The following is a 16,971-nucleotide window of genomic DNA, read 5'->3' as shown; positions in this document are numbered from 1 at the left end:
CCATCTAGGGAACCCTTACTGTTTTTCCTCCAATTCAGCTCAAACATCGCCTCCTCTGAGAAGCGGCCCCATGCACCTCCCGCAATGTTCCCATACGAGCCAGTGCAGCCATCATCAGGGCACTTGCCACCGTGAATTGGCAGGCCTCGGGCACATCTCACACCTACAAAACCCAGAGCCCTGCAAGGACTGTGTTCTGTGCTCACACCCCTCTGTGTGTCTAGGCCCTGGTGATCTTATGGCCAATGGTGAGCCTCAGTGAATGACTAAGTGAATGGGTAGTACAGGTAGTGGGTTTGCTGGAATAAAAAGATGTCCATCCACCAGGGACTGGAGGTGACAGCACCAACAAGTCAGGGGGAAGGAAAACAACAAAACCCATCCATCAGGTCCCAGAGGTTTACAGGCAGCTAGAGAGAGACGAGTCTCTCAAGACCGATAACAAGCCAGGGCAGCTTGCAATGAGCTCCGCAGCGCCCTGGTGACCTCCAGAGCTCAGAGGAACAGGGGCACTGGGGAGGGCGGGGGAAGCTTAGGAGGTGGCCTCCTCCCATGCTACCACCCGACCTTCCAGGGACTGAGCAGAATGGAGGCTGAAGGATTGAAGGAGATGCTTTGCTTATCCAACCAAACCCCACCCAGAAGGTGCCTCCAGAGCTCCTGAGGTTCTTGCTGGGAAGAACCTGGTGCCGCCTTTTAACTATGGAGCCTGAGTGCTGGCAGTGGTGAGGGAAAAGGGTAACAAAGGCAGCAGAAAGAGGCATCCCCACCCAGCGAACAGCCAGATGCCAGGCGGGTGTTCCCTTCCCCACCCCAAGGTGGCTGCCTGCAGTGTCTACGTGCTTGTCTTTCTGGAAGACAGGCCCTACTAGGGCTTCAGAGTCAGGCCCAACCTCCTGCCCCCGCAGGAAGGAGCAGAAATGCAGAGCTAAGAGCACCTAGAGAAGGCAGGAAGGGCAGAGATGCAGGTGCACAGGCAACCTCTTCTGTTTGACTTTGGGCCAACTAGGGTTAGGAGTAATGGACTTAACCTGACCTTGGTCTTATATGATCCAGAGAAATGTAAATACTGAAACACAGGCCAACAGTAAAGCAGCAGGTGCAGGGAATCCAGCCACTCCTGGCAAAGTGTCATGGTCCAGCTAAGGACTCCCAGTGACCCAAGCTTCCCCCACCTGTCTCCTTTACCTTACAGGTAGCACCTTCCTCCTCCTTCCTATCCCTACCCCAGGGCCAGGCTGTCTCTCTCTTCCTGACCAGCAAAACCTGAATCTTAGGTTACAAACTCTGGAAGGGGCTCAGAGCTTGGCTGTCCCAAAACCCACTTTTGCAGAGGAGGAAACTGAGGCCCAAGGAAGAAAAAGACCTACTGCAGATCACCTGGCTTCCAGGCTCCTAGCACAAAGCTCTTTGTACTGACGAAGCTCTCAAATCCTGAAAACATCTGCTGTTAGTCCCACCCTCTCCAACCTCCATCCTTTCCCTTTCCCCAAAAAAACAAGAGCTGCATTTTCAGAATTGAAAGTAGGGTGCTAAATGGGCAAAAGTATAGTGGTGGGATCTGAGGCATGGAAGAGGAAAAGCCACAGGGGATGGCCTGAAAACACTGCTGTGTGCTGAGTCAGGCTGCCTGTGCCTGTTCTGCTGTATCCTGGCTCCTGGCTTTCCTCCCCACCCCTGGGCCTGACAGATGACAACTGAAGGTGGGGCCAGCCCAAGAGAGAAAGGGCCAGAGGAAGTTGTGGTGGGTGCCCCGACCCTGGTCCCTAGATATTGTCTGAAGCCTACTGAAGGGTGAGTCTGCATCTTCCAAACACTTGCCCACAACCACAGTGACAGAAGAGGAGCGAGATCTCTCTCTGCTGTAGGTCCAAATGCTACCCTCCTACAATACCAGCAATACTGATGCCACCAACCCCCATGATGGCACCAGGATGGGGAAGGCAGAAACAGGCCTCTGGTGCCCTCTGCTGTTCAGCACTCCCGTGCCACAGCCTGAGGGTTGGCACTGTGGCTGGCAGGGGGACCCAGGGAATGTCTCCAGCCCCTAGGGTTGCCCCAGCTTTTAGCAGCCCTCCATCTACTTCCCAGAAGGATCCAGGAAATGTGTGATGCTGAAGCCCTGGCTAAGGCAATGCACCCGCCAGATCACCCAGGGTGTGGTGTAGTAGCAAACAATCCCCAACACGAAATGGCTCCAAATCAGGCAGGTTTATTTAGCTGGACAAGCTCTGTGTCCATTTTCTAAGATCCAGGTTGAGGCAGTAGCCACCACCATCTGGAATGATGCTGGCTACAGTGACTGAGAGCAAGAGACTGAGGGCCTCACACAGACAGTGAAAAACTTCCACTCACAGCTCACTGGTGGGATCTATCACACAGCCCCACCCAAGCAAAAGAGGCAGAAAGTGCAATCCCACCAGGTGCCCAGAAGTCAGGAGCTAGGGACACTGAAAGGGCACATTCCTGACTACTGATGGCTTCCGGCTCATTCTCCCTCCTGCAAGCAAAGTACCTCATCCCTCCCCAGGGAACGCAGCCCTAGATCCGCCCCAGGGGCAGCATCGTCCTCAGGTGCAGGGTCTCAGGGCGGTATGTTGGCATCCCATATCAGCAGTGAGGGGCAGTAATCCCTGCTTCACACGTAGATGTGGTGCCTCTTGATCCAGTGACCTGCAACCTAAGAATCCCAGTTTCCTGCTGCCTGTTAAAATTCAGTCCTCAGTGGTACAGCCAGGGCTAGAGAGTGGCAAAAAAACACACCAGTAGGAAAGCAGAAAAATGAGAGCCATATCTCAGGGGATACTGCTCCATGGCAGCCCTGCCATCCCTGGGCAGACTTTAAGAGTCCCTGTCCTGGAGGTGGGCATCGTCCTTGATCAGGCAGCTCTGGCCTCTCCCCTGGGTATCTCTCCTCATTGGTTTTTTCTGTGCCCTGCTCCCTTCCCCGTCTGTCTGGCTGCCTCAGTTTCTCCTGACTTAATACCTTGTGCTGTGTGTGGCTCTGTAATGGCCACCTCACTCTTGAGTCTCCCAGACTTCTGAGTGGTCCCAACTTAGGGTCTCAGTTCAAATTCCAGACACACAGAGAGACTCCCATTTCACTGGCCTAACTGATTATTCAGAGCCAGGCACACAAGTCACAGTTATGTCCAGTTTCCGAACGGGCCGTCTGAACAGGGGATGCTGGAGAGACCCCACGCTGCCTGCACATCTGGTGGTGTGGGAGGAGAGCGTGGGCACAGCCATGAAGGATTGTTTTCTCTGAAACACAGAGCGTGGAGTTGCCCTTGAATGTACTCTGAAGACACATGATTTGGGAGGAGGAAGTGAGGTTTGGCCTTCCCCAACCTCAGACTGCTCATTGCTTTCTTTACTCCTCTGAGTCTCAGTTTCCTCATCCATACAGGGGGAACAATAATCACTGTCCTCATCCTTCTCCCTCGCTCACTCCTGTGGGCCCTCATGCCCCTGATGGAACCAGTCCTGGGTCCTGGCTGCCTGAGCTGGGTTCACAGTCTGGGGCTGACCTGTGGCCTGCCTCTCCAGAACATTTGCGTCTGTATAGAGAACTGTTGGAGACTGACAAGCCAACAGGATCAACCCGTAATGGCAAAATATAAGGCAGGGAGATGCCAAAAGAGAGAATACTTTGGTAGGAGGGAGGGAAGCACTCAAGATCTGCCTGGATAAGAATTCTAATCTCTGCTGCTGACTGTTCAGTTCCTCCTTCATGGAAGAAATGAGTCAGGCCTATCTTGAATGACAACTCTTGTTACCAGAATCCTCAGATCATTTCTAGGGTAACTCTCCTTTAAGGGATGTGTGTGGGGGCAGCACTTCGTAGGTACATGCACCCTGCCTCCCTGCCCCACGTGCTCTACATTCTCCCTGTGCTCAGAACTGTGCTGACTCGGGCACAGTTCTGATGATGCGGAAACTAGTGCAGCCCACATTTCTCAACCTCGGGGACGGATGTGCTGCCTTGTTGTATTTTTGTTCTTTGAAAACCTCTGCTTTTTCTTCTACCCATCCACCTCTTTAGCTGCTAATCGGGGGTGGTCTGAAGACCCACGTCGTGTGTTTATTTTATCATGTTTCCAAAGCTGCAGTCATATCTCAGCAGGGGGCTGCACCATCCACATGCCTTTGAACTCAGAAACCCCCACGTGGGTTTTGGTAACCAGGGCTGGCATATCCCCACTCGACAGCACTGTGTCCTTAGCCCACTGCCCACCTGGCTCCCCCTACCTCGCTGCCCCTGCCCTAATACCCTCCTGCAGGGTTCCTCCAGGGTCTCATCGTGGTCCAGTCTCTGGGCGCTAGCACAGTCCCCTCATTCCCTACCCACCCTCACTGCTCAATGCAAACCCTGCCTCCTGCCCTCTGTGACTTAGAGCTGTCTGCTTAAACTCTCTGGACTACGGCCTCACTGTAACAAGAAAGGATTTGAGAAAGCAGAATTTCCCAGCTCTGGATCCTTTCTTTCCCCCATCTCCTTTAAAGCATATCAAGAAAGAATGGCAGTGAATGTTGGTAGAGTGCTTTACAGTCTACAGAATATGAGCACATTCATGACTTTGTGTGAAGTCACTGATAGCCCCTGGGGGTAGTTATTCTTACTATTTCTGTTTTACAGAGGCAGAGGCACAAACTGAGACTCAGAGGGGTTCAGTAACTTATCTAAGGTCACACAGCTAGTTTAAAGAAGAAAAAAAGAAATGGCCAGGCATGGTGGCTCACACCTGTAATCCCAGCACTTTGGGACGCCGAGGCAGGCAGATCACCTGAGGTCAGGAGTTCAAGACCAGCCTGGCCAACATGGTGAAACCCTGTCCCTGCTAAAAATACAAAAATTAGCTGGGCATGGTGGTGTATGCCTGTAATCCCAGCTACTTGGGAGGCTGAGGCAGGAGAATCACTTGAACCCAGGAGGTGGAGATTGCAGTGAGCCAAGATTCTGCCACTGCACTCCAGCCTGGGCCACAGAGCAAGATTCCATCTCAAAAAAAAAAAAAAAAAAAAAAAGGATTGGGATTAAATTTCAGGTATTCAGACCACATGCCCTTCCTACTTTAGCAGATGATGTCTCTCCCCCCTACTCTGGCTAATGGCTGCAATCCTTATCGCCCACAGTAAGAAGAGACTTAGGGTGCAGCTCTACCCCACATCCCTGGGATAGGGAGCCAGAGGGTCACAGAGCATCACTACCAAACAGGTTGTCTTGGACCTCAGGGAACTGTCAGAGGGAAGAATTATGATTTTAAAGCTTGTCCACATGTGGACCCCTCACTGGCCTGGGTGTCTTTGGAGCAGCAGAGCTGGTTCTAATTGGCAAGGCCAGCCTAGGTGGTGCCCTGTCCTCTCAAAGTGACAAAGCAGGGCTTTCCTGGGGCCAATGCCTGTGGCAACTCCTCCTGACACACCTTTCCCAGTTTGCCAGGGGTGTAGCCTAGGATCAGAAGCTAGTTCCACCCTCCTCTGCACCTTGGTTTCTCTTTCTATAAAATGCGGAATAATCTCCACTTTTCTGTCCCTACTATCCAGTAGGAGTCGGGGAGGACAAGAGGGCATGAGCTGGTGTTTCTCACGGGACTTTGATGCCTTAATAGAGGTGATATTTGGATAAAAATATAAGAGCAAGCATGGACTCCGGTGCTTCCTAAGAAAAGGACTCTAGAGGAGAAACTAACTCTCAGGCACATTCTGGGGAATTAAATTTTCTAGATTTCTAGAAGCCCCCTTGATATCAGCTCTTATGGCTACAAACCCTTCTACCATTCCAGAGAGAGGTTCTCTGAGACCACACCTGGAAATGACTTTGCCAGTCTGCAGGGACAATCTGCCTGGGGGCTAGGGCTGGATGAGGGTGACTGCAGGGGGCAATGTGAGGTGGACCTGGAGCCCCCATAGCTCAGGAGTAACATTTGCAGATCCATCCCCAAGAGTTGTTTGGTTTAGCTCCTTTGGTTCTTTCTCAAAAGAGTCAAGTTTGGTAAAAACCCAGGAATTCATTTAACATGATCACAGGAAGGCGCATTAGAATAAAATGCATATGAACAGCTGCTATTACTCCTTTGGGTACATATTCCTGCTTACCATGATCCAGTACCTTTGTCACTTTAATAGAAAGCTCTCAGAGACTTGGTTTCCCAATCTATAAAATGTAAGAGTTGCATTTCATTGTTGGGAGGTGAGGTCCCTTCTAGGCTAATACTTGCTTGGAGTAACACAACAAACAACAGATCCTTCAGGACTTAGGGGCTTGCATCCATTGAAGTACAGAAATAAAATATTTTTAAAAGACTAAAGGGAAAAGAGACTCTCCAGGTTTAGTCTGGGTAGGTGGTGGGGCCTGGCTGAACCTACTTCATCTCTGTTTCCCTTGCTCTTGACTTTCCCTTGGCAGTCTCTAACTTGTTGCCCTCTGTCACCACTACTCACAAGGACATTGGCCACCATATTACCCTAGTCCCCTTTCTGTAATTGTCGACTTCTGTACTGATTGTTCCCCAGTAATTGCAAGCTTTCTAAAGAGAATACATCTTCAGCTGTATTAGGCAGAGTTCTACAGAGAAACAGAACCAATAAGCAATACGAGATTAGATATAAATATATAGATGCATACATATATATATGTATATATGCATGCAGGTGTGTATATAGACAGAGAGAAACAGACAGAGACGGAGAGATTTATTTTAAGGAATTGTGTGGCTGGCAAGTCCGAAATCCATAGGGCAGGCTGGCAGGCTGAAAAGTTAAGTGAGGGTTAATGTCATAGACCGGAGTCCTGAGTTTGAATTCCACAGGGCAACAGGCTGGAAACTCAGATAGGGTTTCTATGTTGTAGTCTCAAGGAGAATTCCATCTTCTTTAGGAAACCTCAATCTTTGTTCTTAATGCCTTCAACTGATTGGACAGGGCCCACCCGTAGTATGGTGGGTAACCTGCTTTACTGATTTAAGTGTTAATCTCATCTAAAAAATACCTTTACCACCATGTCCAGACTAGTGTTTGACCAAACAATGAGTTGGCATACTCCACGCAAGGTGACGTGCAAAATGAACCATCACAGCACTTCTTGTGTCTTCATGTGCCCACCTGGTACATGGGGGTACAACTATCTGGCCCAAAGGGGTGGTCAATCCTGAGTGGATAAATAATAGGAATTTAGTCCTATGATGTGTCTTGATTTTTCTTTTCTTTTCTTACCTTCCTATTTTTATTAACCCGGGTCTTCTGCGCCCAAAGACTCAGCCTCATTCAGGACCATATTATGTTCATACTTCTGCTGCGTCCAAGGAGTGTTGACAAAAAAGTGGGGCCTTGGAGGGGTAGAGGCCAAGGGACAGTTTCCCCTCTGCCCTTTGAAGTTCACTGAAAATGAATTTACAATAGGCAGATTAATAAGAGGAAAAGGCATACAAATTCATTTAATGTGCATAAGCACACAGGAATTGCAAGAACATGATGACCTAAACCCAATGAGGTCCAGATGCTCATACGCCTTTCTTCATCAGGGAAGAGGAGATGGAGGAGAAAGTGGCTGTTTTGAGGGGTAGAAAATAATTTTTTTTTTTTTTTGAGACGGAATCTCACTCTTTCGCCAGGCTGGAGTGCAGTGGCATGATCTCGGCTCACTGCAACCTCCACCTCCTGGGTTCAAGCAATTCTCCTGCCTCAGTCTCCCGAGTAGCTGAGACTACAGGCATGTGCCACTACACCCAGCTAATTTTTGTATTTTTAGTAGAGACAGGGTTTCACCATGTTGGCCAGGATGGTCTCGATCTCTTGACCTCGTGATCCTCCCGCTTCGGCCTCCCAGTGCTGGGATTACAGGCGTAAGCCACCACTCCTGGCCCAGCAAATGATTTTTAAGAGGAATGAATGGGCCCAATGCTCCAGACAATGGTTAGTAAATAATTATCTTTGGAAATGGAATGGGACTTAAAAATAGACAATTTGGGTCAGTGCTCCGAAGTATGGGTTGTAGGTGTGATGTTTAATTTTCAATCTCTTCCTCTGTGATATGGGTTTTAATCCTCTAGATAATGAAATTTCAGGAAGGGGATGGAAGGCAATTGTGTTCCTCTTCGGCCATCTGGTTTCTAGGTGGATGAGGGAACTTCAGAGAACAGCCTTGTCCTGTGTTTTGGGAGAGACAAGGGATTGAGAAACAGGAAGGTAGGAGGGGTAGGGAAGGTCAAGAGACCTTGAGGCTTCTTCTTTAGTCCAGCACGTCAAAGCACCATATTGGGGAGTATCATTTTCTGAGCCCCAACAGAGGTTGACACACCTGGGCCTAAGTCCCAGCTCCCCCATTCATTAGCAAGGAGTTGAACCCCTCAGAACGTGAGTTCTGTCTGTGCAGTGAAGGCATGGGGTGCCCACATGGTGGGTGTAGTGAGGCTGAGTTCTAGGCCCAGCACAGTGCCTGCCATGAAGGAGGCACCCCATCATTTTCATAATGATGATTTCATTGCTCTTTTACACGCAATTAAAACTCACTAATTCAGACCTATCAGAGAGGGCAGTCAATGGCTGGAAAGTCCACATTAAAAAATAATTTTAAAATAATGTAGTTTTATTGCTTTAAAATATATTACTCGGTCCAGGCTAATAAAGTGTTGCATAGCAAGCCCTTGGGGGACTTGCATTAATGAACAAATAAGAACAATTTGAGGTTAGTCCATCCATTATTGGCATGGAACAGGGTGTCTCAGAAAGTATTTGCAAATGCCTCAAAACAAGGTATTATCTTCCACAGATTAAGTGTTTCCCCTGCAATCATCATGATGCATTTTCTTCATTCACCAGTTTCTCTCTACCTGGAAAGTGCTCCAGGCAAGTTCAGCACAGGACTGACCAGATTTTAACAGATTCTCACTCAGTGAAGATTGAGCATAAGACATTTCATTGAGTTAGGTCGAGGCCCTTATTTTATATTCTTTCCTTTCAGAGAAACCTGTTTCAGGGTGCACATCTTGGCCTGCACCTCCCAGAGCTAGAATTGTTTCCATCAAACAGCAAAGAGGCTGTGCTTAGGAGCTTGGGCTCTGAACGCAGACAGAACTGGGTTCAAATCCCAGCCATCCCTAAGATAACTTCCCTCACAAGGTTGCTATAGGATTAAATTAGGTATACAGCTCAAGTACCTGAGAGACACGAAAGTCATGAATGGCAGTGAAAGAGCAAAAGCTCTCCTGCAGCACAGGGACCACCATATCTAGAGGTGAGTCAGAAAGGCACGCACACAGACCTAGTGAACCTCTGAGGCATAAGGAATGCTGAAATTATTATTCCTGGTGCTGGGCCAGTCCTTGGGTGATGATGAAATTTGCCTCCAGATAGGCTATGATTCCAAGGCAGGAGCCTAGGAATTACTGTCATTATTATTATTAGCAACAAAAATGACGGTTTATATTTTACAAGAGCTATCTAGCTTCTCTCAAAAGCTCCACTGAGACAGTGTATATTTGAGGAAGGTTGTGCAAGGGCCACGGTATCTGTTCCTCTGGGAATTCCAAGTGTGGACTGGGTTCTCTCATCAGAGAACCACATCCCAGAATTAGCCCAGCACCTGCAGAAAGGCCTTTTCTGAGTGAAGGTCTGAGTTAAGTCCTTGATTCTACTCTGCCTCAGGGTAGAGAACCACCAGCGAAGGGGAAGTTCCTGGGACACCCTGAGAACCTGCCATCAGTCACCGTTTATTAAGCACTTAACTCTGGATGGGGGCTGGCGCTCTGTGATTGCCTGACTTTATCCTCATTACATTCAGCCCATAATGTCAATGTCAGACCATTGGCCCTCCCACCCCGCTTCATCAGAGGAGGGAGCTGTGTCCCAGAAGGCAGGGGGGACTTGCTCAAAGTCACAGAGCTGGTATAAATAAACACAGCATGCCAGTCTTCATTTTTTCTTTTCTTTTTTTTTTTTTTTTTTTGAGACAGGATCTTGCTCTGTCGCCCAGGCTGGAGGGCAGTGGTGCAATCTCAGCTCACTGCAACCTCCGCCTCCCGGGTTCAAACGATTCTGCTGCCTCAGCCTCCCAAGTAGCTGGGACTACAGGTGTGTGCCACCACGCCCAGCTGAATTTTTTATTTTTAGTAGAGTCGGGGTTTCCCTACATTGGCCAGGCTGCTATCCAACTCCTGGCCTCAAGTCATCCACCTGCCTCGGCCTCCCAAAGTGCTGGTGAGAGGTGACAGAGTGCTGGCACTCCTCAGAGCCCTCGCTTGCTCTCGGCACCTCCTCTGCCTGGGCTCCAACTTTGGCGGCACTTGAGGAGCACTTCAGCCCACCGCTGCACTGTGGTAGCCCCTTTCTGGGCTGGCCAAGGCCAGAGCCGGCTCCCTCAGCTTGCAGGGAGGTGTGGAGGGAGAGGCACGAGCAGGAACCCGGGCTGCGCGCGGCGCTTGTGGGCCAGCTGGAGTTCCGGGTGGGCGTGGGCTTGGCGGGCCGCACTCGGAGCAGCCAGCTGGCCCTGCCGGCCCCAGGCAATGAAGGACTTAGCACACGGGCCAGCGGCTGCAGAGGGTGTACTGGGTCCCCCAGCAGTGCCAGCCCACAGGCGCTGTGCTCGATTTCTCACCGGGCCTTAGCTGCCTTCCCGCGGGGCAGGGCTGGGGACCTGCAGCCCGCCATGCCTGAGCCTCCCACCTGCTCCATGGGCTCCTATGCAGCCCGAGCCTCCCCGATGAGTGCCGCCCCCTGCTCCACAGCGCCCAGTCCCATCGATCACCCAAGGGCTGAGGAGTGCGAGCGCACTGCGCGGGACTGGCAGGCAGCTCCACCTGCAGCCCTGGTGCGGGATCCACTGGGTGAAGCCAGCTGGGCTCCTGAGTCTGGTGGGGCGGTGGAGAACCTTTATGTCTAGCTCAGGGATTGTAAATACACCAATCGGCACTCTGTATCTAGCTCAAGGTTTGTAAACACACCAGTCAGCACCCTGTGTCTAGCTCAGGGTTTGTGAATGCACCAATTGACACTCTGTATCTAGCTGCTCTGGTGGGGCCTTGGAGAACCTTTGTGTCCATACTCTGTATCTAACTAATCTGATGGGGATGTGGAGAACCTTTATGTCTAGCTCAGGGATTGTAAACGCACCAATCAGCGCCCTGTCCGCACAGACCACTCGGCTCTACCAATCAGCGGGATGTGGGTGGGGCCAGATAAGAGAATAAAAGCAGGCTGCCCGAGCCAGCAGTGGCAACCCGCTCGGGTCCCCTTCCACACTGTGGAAGCTTTGTTCTTTTGCTCTTTGCAATAAATCTTGCTGCTGCTCACTCTTTGGGTCCACACTGCTTTTATGAGCTGTAACACTCACCACAAAAGTCTGCAGCTTCAGTCCTGAAGCCAGCGAGACCACGAGCCCACCAGGAAGAACAAACAAACTCCAGACACGCCACCTTAAGAGCTGTGACACTCACCACGAGGGTCCGCGGCTTCATTCTTGAAGTCAGTTGAGACCGAGAACCCACCAATTCCGGACACACTGGGATTACAGGTGTGAGCCACTGCGCCCAGCCAAGCATGCCATTCTTTAGAAGATGTTCTCTCCTGGCACATCTCAGTTTCTACAAAGGCCCCCAGCCCTTCCTGGAGACCCCTGGGGCGAAGTTCTCTCACCCTTCTTCACATGCCCATAACAACTCACCTCCCTCTCTCTTAGAGCCCCCGTCCTGCCCTTCCTTGAATTCTGGTCATGCTCATGTTTGCCATAGCTCCCCAAGGAAGACAGCCTCTGAGTCAGGTCTGACATTGTCTGTCCTTAAAGAAGGCACTTAACACATATTTGTCAACTGAATTAATAAAAATTTCCCACAGGGCCTTGGAAGAAATTTTGTACCTGTTTGCCTCTGCTGGATGACGCACTCTGAACACAGCTACCTAAAAGTGGAAGGAAGGAGGCCGGGCAGGGTGGCTCACGCCCATAATCCCAGCACCTTGGGAGACTGAGTCAGGTGGATCACTTGAGCTCAGGAGTTTGAGACCAGCCTAGGCAACATGGCGAAATCCTGTCTCTACAAAAAAAATTTAAAACTTAGGCATGGTGGCACGTGCCTGTAGTCCCAGCTACTCAGGAGTCTGAGGTGGGAGGATTGCTTGAGCCTAGGAGGTGGAGGCTGCAGTGAGCCGAAATCACATCACTGCCCTCCAGCCTGAGCAACAGAGCAAGACCCAATCTCAAAAAAAAAAAAAAAAAAAAAAAGGCTAAAAGGAAGGACTGTTTTGAGCTGAGGCAACCCCAAGGACTGGTGACATTCCCTGGGTCTCCCCTGCCAGCCTCGTGTCATACCCCAAGAGAGGCTGGGACACATCTGTGAAACAGGATGCTGAACAGCGGAACACAGCGGACTTGAGCCAGCCTAAGTGGGTTTCTGCTCCTTGCAACAAGAGGCCTGAATAGAAGCCCCTTCTTCAGGGGAGTGGGCATCAGCTCAGAAAGAGGATCCCATGGGAACTGACTTTGCTGGTGACCAAGGCCCTACCACCAGGGCACCCTGCCCATGTATCCCAAGCAGAGGGAGCAGAACCAGCGGTGTAACTACTGTGCTTGACACCCAGGGCAGGTCTTTTTTTAACTCACCGATCTTCCATGCAACAAAATTGTTTTCTGTGAAAAGCAGGAAATGAATAACAACAGCGTAGGTGCGTTGGCTATGTCCGGTGGCATTTCTTCAGAATTTTCATTAATGACACCTGATTTTGGAGGCATTGTATATTTTTAAATACATCCAGATGTTGTTTCAGTTGCTTCCTCTTTGGTTCTTTTTGCTTTTCGTTGTTGAGCGTCACTTAAATTCGTGTCATTTCATGTTGGTACAGGTACTCCACTTCAAATTTCCCAAGAAATTCAGAAGAATTGTGAACAAGTTGCTGGTTTCACAATACTGCAAGACACTGCAAGTTATTCCAAGTTCCTACAGGACAACGATGCACAATTATTTACTTACTTATGTTTAAATATACCTATCAGTTTGACTTTCATCCTTTGGTGACATTCTAATAATTTATGTAAATAATTATTCAGAGACCAATGAGAGGATTTTAATAAGTGCAAAATGTTAGCAGACGGTACAACATTGATAAATCTATGGTCTGTATTTTGTTCTGCCATTTCAAAATAATTAAAAAGTAAGTTTCAATTTAAAAACATTATTGAAATTCAGTAAAATATTTCAAGCATGAACTAAAATATACACTTACTAAACACAAATATTACACCTCACATTTCATACTCTGTTTCATTGTTTTAAATTTTAAACAGAAATAACTCCACCGGCCACCTAGAATGATCAAATCAGGCAACTCAAGTTACTTTGTTTCATCTTCACAATCACTGTGCTATCATTGTTCATTTTGAATCTACTTTTTAAAAGCAAGAATATTTGATACCAGATACCAGACACAAATTATACCTGAAAAGGATGTCATTTTAGGATTTGTGTCCCACCTAAAGGATACAATTCTGTACCCTGACAATGTTATTCTAGAAATAAATGCCTATGAGTGAGTCTTGTTTCAAGAGCCAACTCTACAACTAGGAGTTCCCCCAAAGTAACTTCCATGTGCAATAAAGTTTTTATTAAAGGATAAGTATTAAAATTGTCCTAAGCAGAAAACCAAACACTGCATGTTCTCACTCATAGGTGGGAATTGAACAATGAGAACACTTGGACACAGGGTGGGGAACATCACACACCAGGGCCTGTCGTGGGGTGGGGGTAGCGGGGAGGGATAGCATTGGGAGATATACCTAATGTAAATGACGAGTTAATGGGTGCAGCACACCAACATGGCACATGAATACATATGTAACAAACCTGCACGTTGTGCACATGTACCCTAGAACTTAAAGTATAATTAAAAAAATAAATAAATAAAAATTTTTAAAAATCTAAAAAAAAAAATTAAATTAAATTAGATAAATAAAATTGTCCTAAGGCCAGGAATGGTAGCTTACACCTGTAATCCCAGCACTTCCGGAGGCAGTGAATTGCTTGAGCCCAGGAGTTTGAGACCAGCCTGGGCAACATGGTGAAACCCTGCCTCTATAAAAAAATACAAAAATTAGCCAAGTATGGCGGCACGCACCTGTAGTCCCAGCTACTCGGTAGACTGAGGTGAGAGGATCGCTTAAGCCTGGGAGGTCGAGGCTGCTGTGAGCCATGATGGTGCCACTGCACTCCAGCTTGGGTGACAGAGTGAGACTCTGTCTCAAAAAAACAAAAACAAAAACTGTCCTAATGTGAAGCTTATATACTTATCATCATCATCAATATCATCAGCATTATGAAGCTCCACAGTACCTCAGCAAGTGTTTACACATTGGGCCAAGGACAGATTTTTCCTGGAGAAAGATTTTACCACTGCCACCATCTTGAAATTCTTCATCGTTTTGGAACACAGAGCCATAGATTTTCATTTCTGCACTCAGCTCTGTTCTGAGACCGGGGCCATAGGGGTTCTTGGAGAGACAGGGCAGATGGAAGAAGTGGAAGGCATCTGCACACTGTAGAGTGCCCTGCAATCATAGAGGGTGATTACTCCTGTCCCTACCTCCCTGGCCCAGCTTCCCACCAGCCAGAACCCTGGCAAAACAGGGAGACCTTTGGCAGTCTCTTAGCCCTCTTCCTTACTAATCCCTGTTCCCTCCTCTCCCCTTATGCCAAATACAACTAGAGGTCACCTCACAGCCAAGCGCCCCTCCCAAAGACACCAACTTCCTTTACCCTGCAACAACCAACCCTCACCCCACTCCCAAAAGGCTCTCTGGCCAGAGGTCTGATCGAGCCCCTTGAGGGTACTCACTTTAAGCCACCCCCATTGCCTGAGTTGTTTTCCTTTTTTACAAATGAAGCTTGTTCTTTTCTGGGTCTCTCCAAGGTGGAGTGTAGGAGGGCAGTGTTTTCCGTAGCCTCTGGCTCGTGCCGCGCTCTCAGACTCTTCAGTTCTCCTCACCCACACGAGCCCAATGAGGTAGGCCTTTTTATTCCATCTTGCAGACAAAGAAACGATTACTCAGGGTTGATAAACACCACCCAAGATCTCATGGGAGGAAGGAACAGAGATGAAAATAAAATGCAAGGCTGTGTAAGTCCAACAAATATGCCACATCCATGTCACCTCTGGGGTCTGATCCAGCCTCTCAACAACCACCGTCACCCCTCAACAGGCAGGTGACAGTGGCGAGATGGCCCAGCCCAGCAACAGGCTCCCCCATTGCAGTGCCATTGCTATGCCAGAGGACACAAACCCCAGACCTTGACTCCTCCTCACAGACCCTGAACAGCTAGAATCTTCTGGCTTCACTGATACTTCCAGCTGCCTGAGCTTTGGCCCGGACAGTCGCCACAGCAAACACAGGTAGGTCTCTGCAGCTGCAGCTGAATGAGCCAGCAAATATTTATCAAGCACTGTGCTAGGAACAGTAGGAGATGGAGTGACTTTACTCAGTGGTCCAGTTTTAAAACACTTTTAGTAATAAATACCCTTAAAAAAAAGAAGGGGAGAGAACATATTTTAAAACCCTATTGCTTTCTTTCCCATCCTGAAAGCCATGAGGTAGACAAAATAGTATCGCTTTACAAGCACAGACTTTGGAGCCAGAGACTTTTGGGTTTGAATTCTGGCAGTGCTGCCACTAGCTACGTGACACTGTGCAAGCCACACTCCTCTCAAAGCCTTAGTTTCCCCTTTACAACACGAGAATGCTTACCCCTGCCCACCTCAGAGGATTCTTTAAAAATGAAATGAGCTAATGTATAACAAAGAGCTTTGTTGACTGTGCAAATGTTAGGTTGTTCTTTCAATAAACATTTATTAAGCATTTACTCTGAGCCAAACCCTGAGTTAGGCATTAGAGCTTCTGAAATGTAAACGACCCGGGTTCATTGGGATTCACCCTTTTTATTTTTTTTTTTTCGATGAAATTCACACAACATAAAATTAACCATTTTAAAGTGAACGATTCTTTGGCATTTAGTCCATTCACGATGCTGCACAACCAACACCTCTCACAAGTTCTAAAACATTTTTTTCCTCATCCCAAAAGAAAAGCCCGTACCCACTGAACATCAGCCTCTTTTGAAGATACCTTTTCTCTCGCTCTGCTGCGTCCTTCTCAGGAGTTGAGTTCACGGGCTTCATAATATCCTAATGTCCCTCTCATCGCCTATGACTCCAAGCCAATTCCCACATCCAACCTCAAGCTTCACAAGTCGAAACCCAGGTTTCTCTGCCAGAGCCGGGGGAAACAGAGCCCCTAGCCTGCCATTTTTAATTACATCAGGGCTGGGTGAGCAGGTAATCGCTGTGCATTTCAGTAAATTACCTCTCATAAAGGGGCCATCATGTTTGCTCATGTGCCCTTCTTTCCTGGAACCAGCTCCCTGTTTGCCAACATTGTATCTTCCCAGCAGCCCATGCGCCTGGTGATCGTCCTTTTAGTCAAGCTGGGGGACAGTCAGGTGCAGGGGGAGGAGGCAGTGTTTGGGCAAATATTGGACTTGGCCACACTTGCTGTTCGTATCAGGAACCCAATTGGTGTTATTGATTGACAGATTCGGGGACCAACTGTTTAGAAAGCTGAGCCCCCTCGGATTGGGCTAGGTGTTTCAACAAACAGCCCTAATGCTGGGCAAACAGGGCTGTTGGAAGAAGTGCCCAGCGTGTTAGCAGAGCAAACCAAGCACTGAGCAAACAGCTTAAAAGAATGTGGCCACCTCCACGTAACCTCAACCGAGGTATTGATCCCACCGGAGGAAAGAGAGGGGCCGAGTGGGGAACAGAGAGATACAAACCCCGGCAGAATGTAAATGTTATCTTTAAGCTGCGGCTGTCACGGCCCTAATGGGCATCTGTTTGGAATTTGTCTTCTTGCAAATCTTTAAATCCAGGTCAGGGCCAGGCACAGAATTTAATAACAACTTTTCAGAGAGATCGGGGCTTGGGACTGATTTCATT

The 16,971-nt window shown here is 48.7% G+C and overlaps 2 long non-coding RNA genes across 2 annotated transcripts; one reads left to right on the top strand and one right to left on the bottom strand.

The window, feature by feature from the left end:
- Positions 1-6,679: 6,679 nt before the first annotated feature.
- On the bottom strand, positions 6,680-16,400 carry DRAIC (downregulated RNA in cancer, inhibitor of cell invasion and migration). Its single transcript, NR_026979.1, has 5 exons — positions 16,103-16,400; positions 14,818-15,004; positions 14,316-14,530; positions 12,593-12,896; positions 6,680-7,380 (listed from the first exon to the last, which is right to left on the bottom strand). It is a non-coding gene; the product is annotated as a downregulated RNA in cancer, inhibitor of cell invasion and migration (long non-coding RNA).
- Positions 11,211-13,161, top strand: LOC124903517 (uncharacterized). Its single transcript, XR_007064696.1, has 2 exons — positions 11,211-11,509; positions 11,830-13,161. It is a non-coding gene; the product is annotated as an uncharacterized LOC124903517 (long non-coding RNA).
- Positions 16,401-16,971: the final 571 nt, after the last annotated feature.

The sequence above is a fragment of the Homo sapiens genome, chromosome 15, assembly GCF_000001405.40.
Source record: "Homo sapiens chromosome 15, GRCh38.p14 Primary Assembly".
In the NCBI taxonomy this organism is placed as follows: domain Eukaryota; kingdom Metazoa; phylum Chordata; class Mammalia; order Primates; family Hominidae; genus Homo; species Homo sapiens.
Note: the sequence above shows the minus strand (reverse complement) of the source record. Positions and strands in the feature narration are given on the sequence as shown.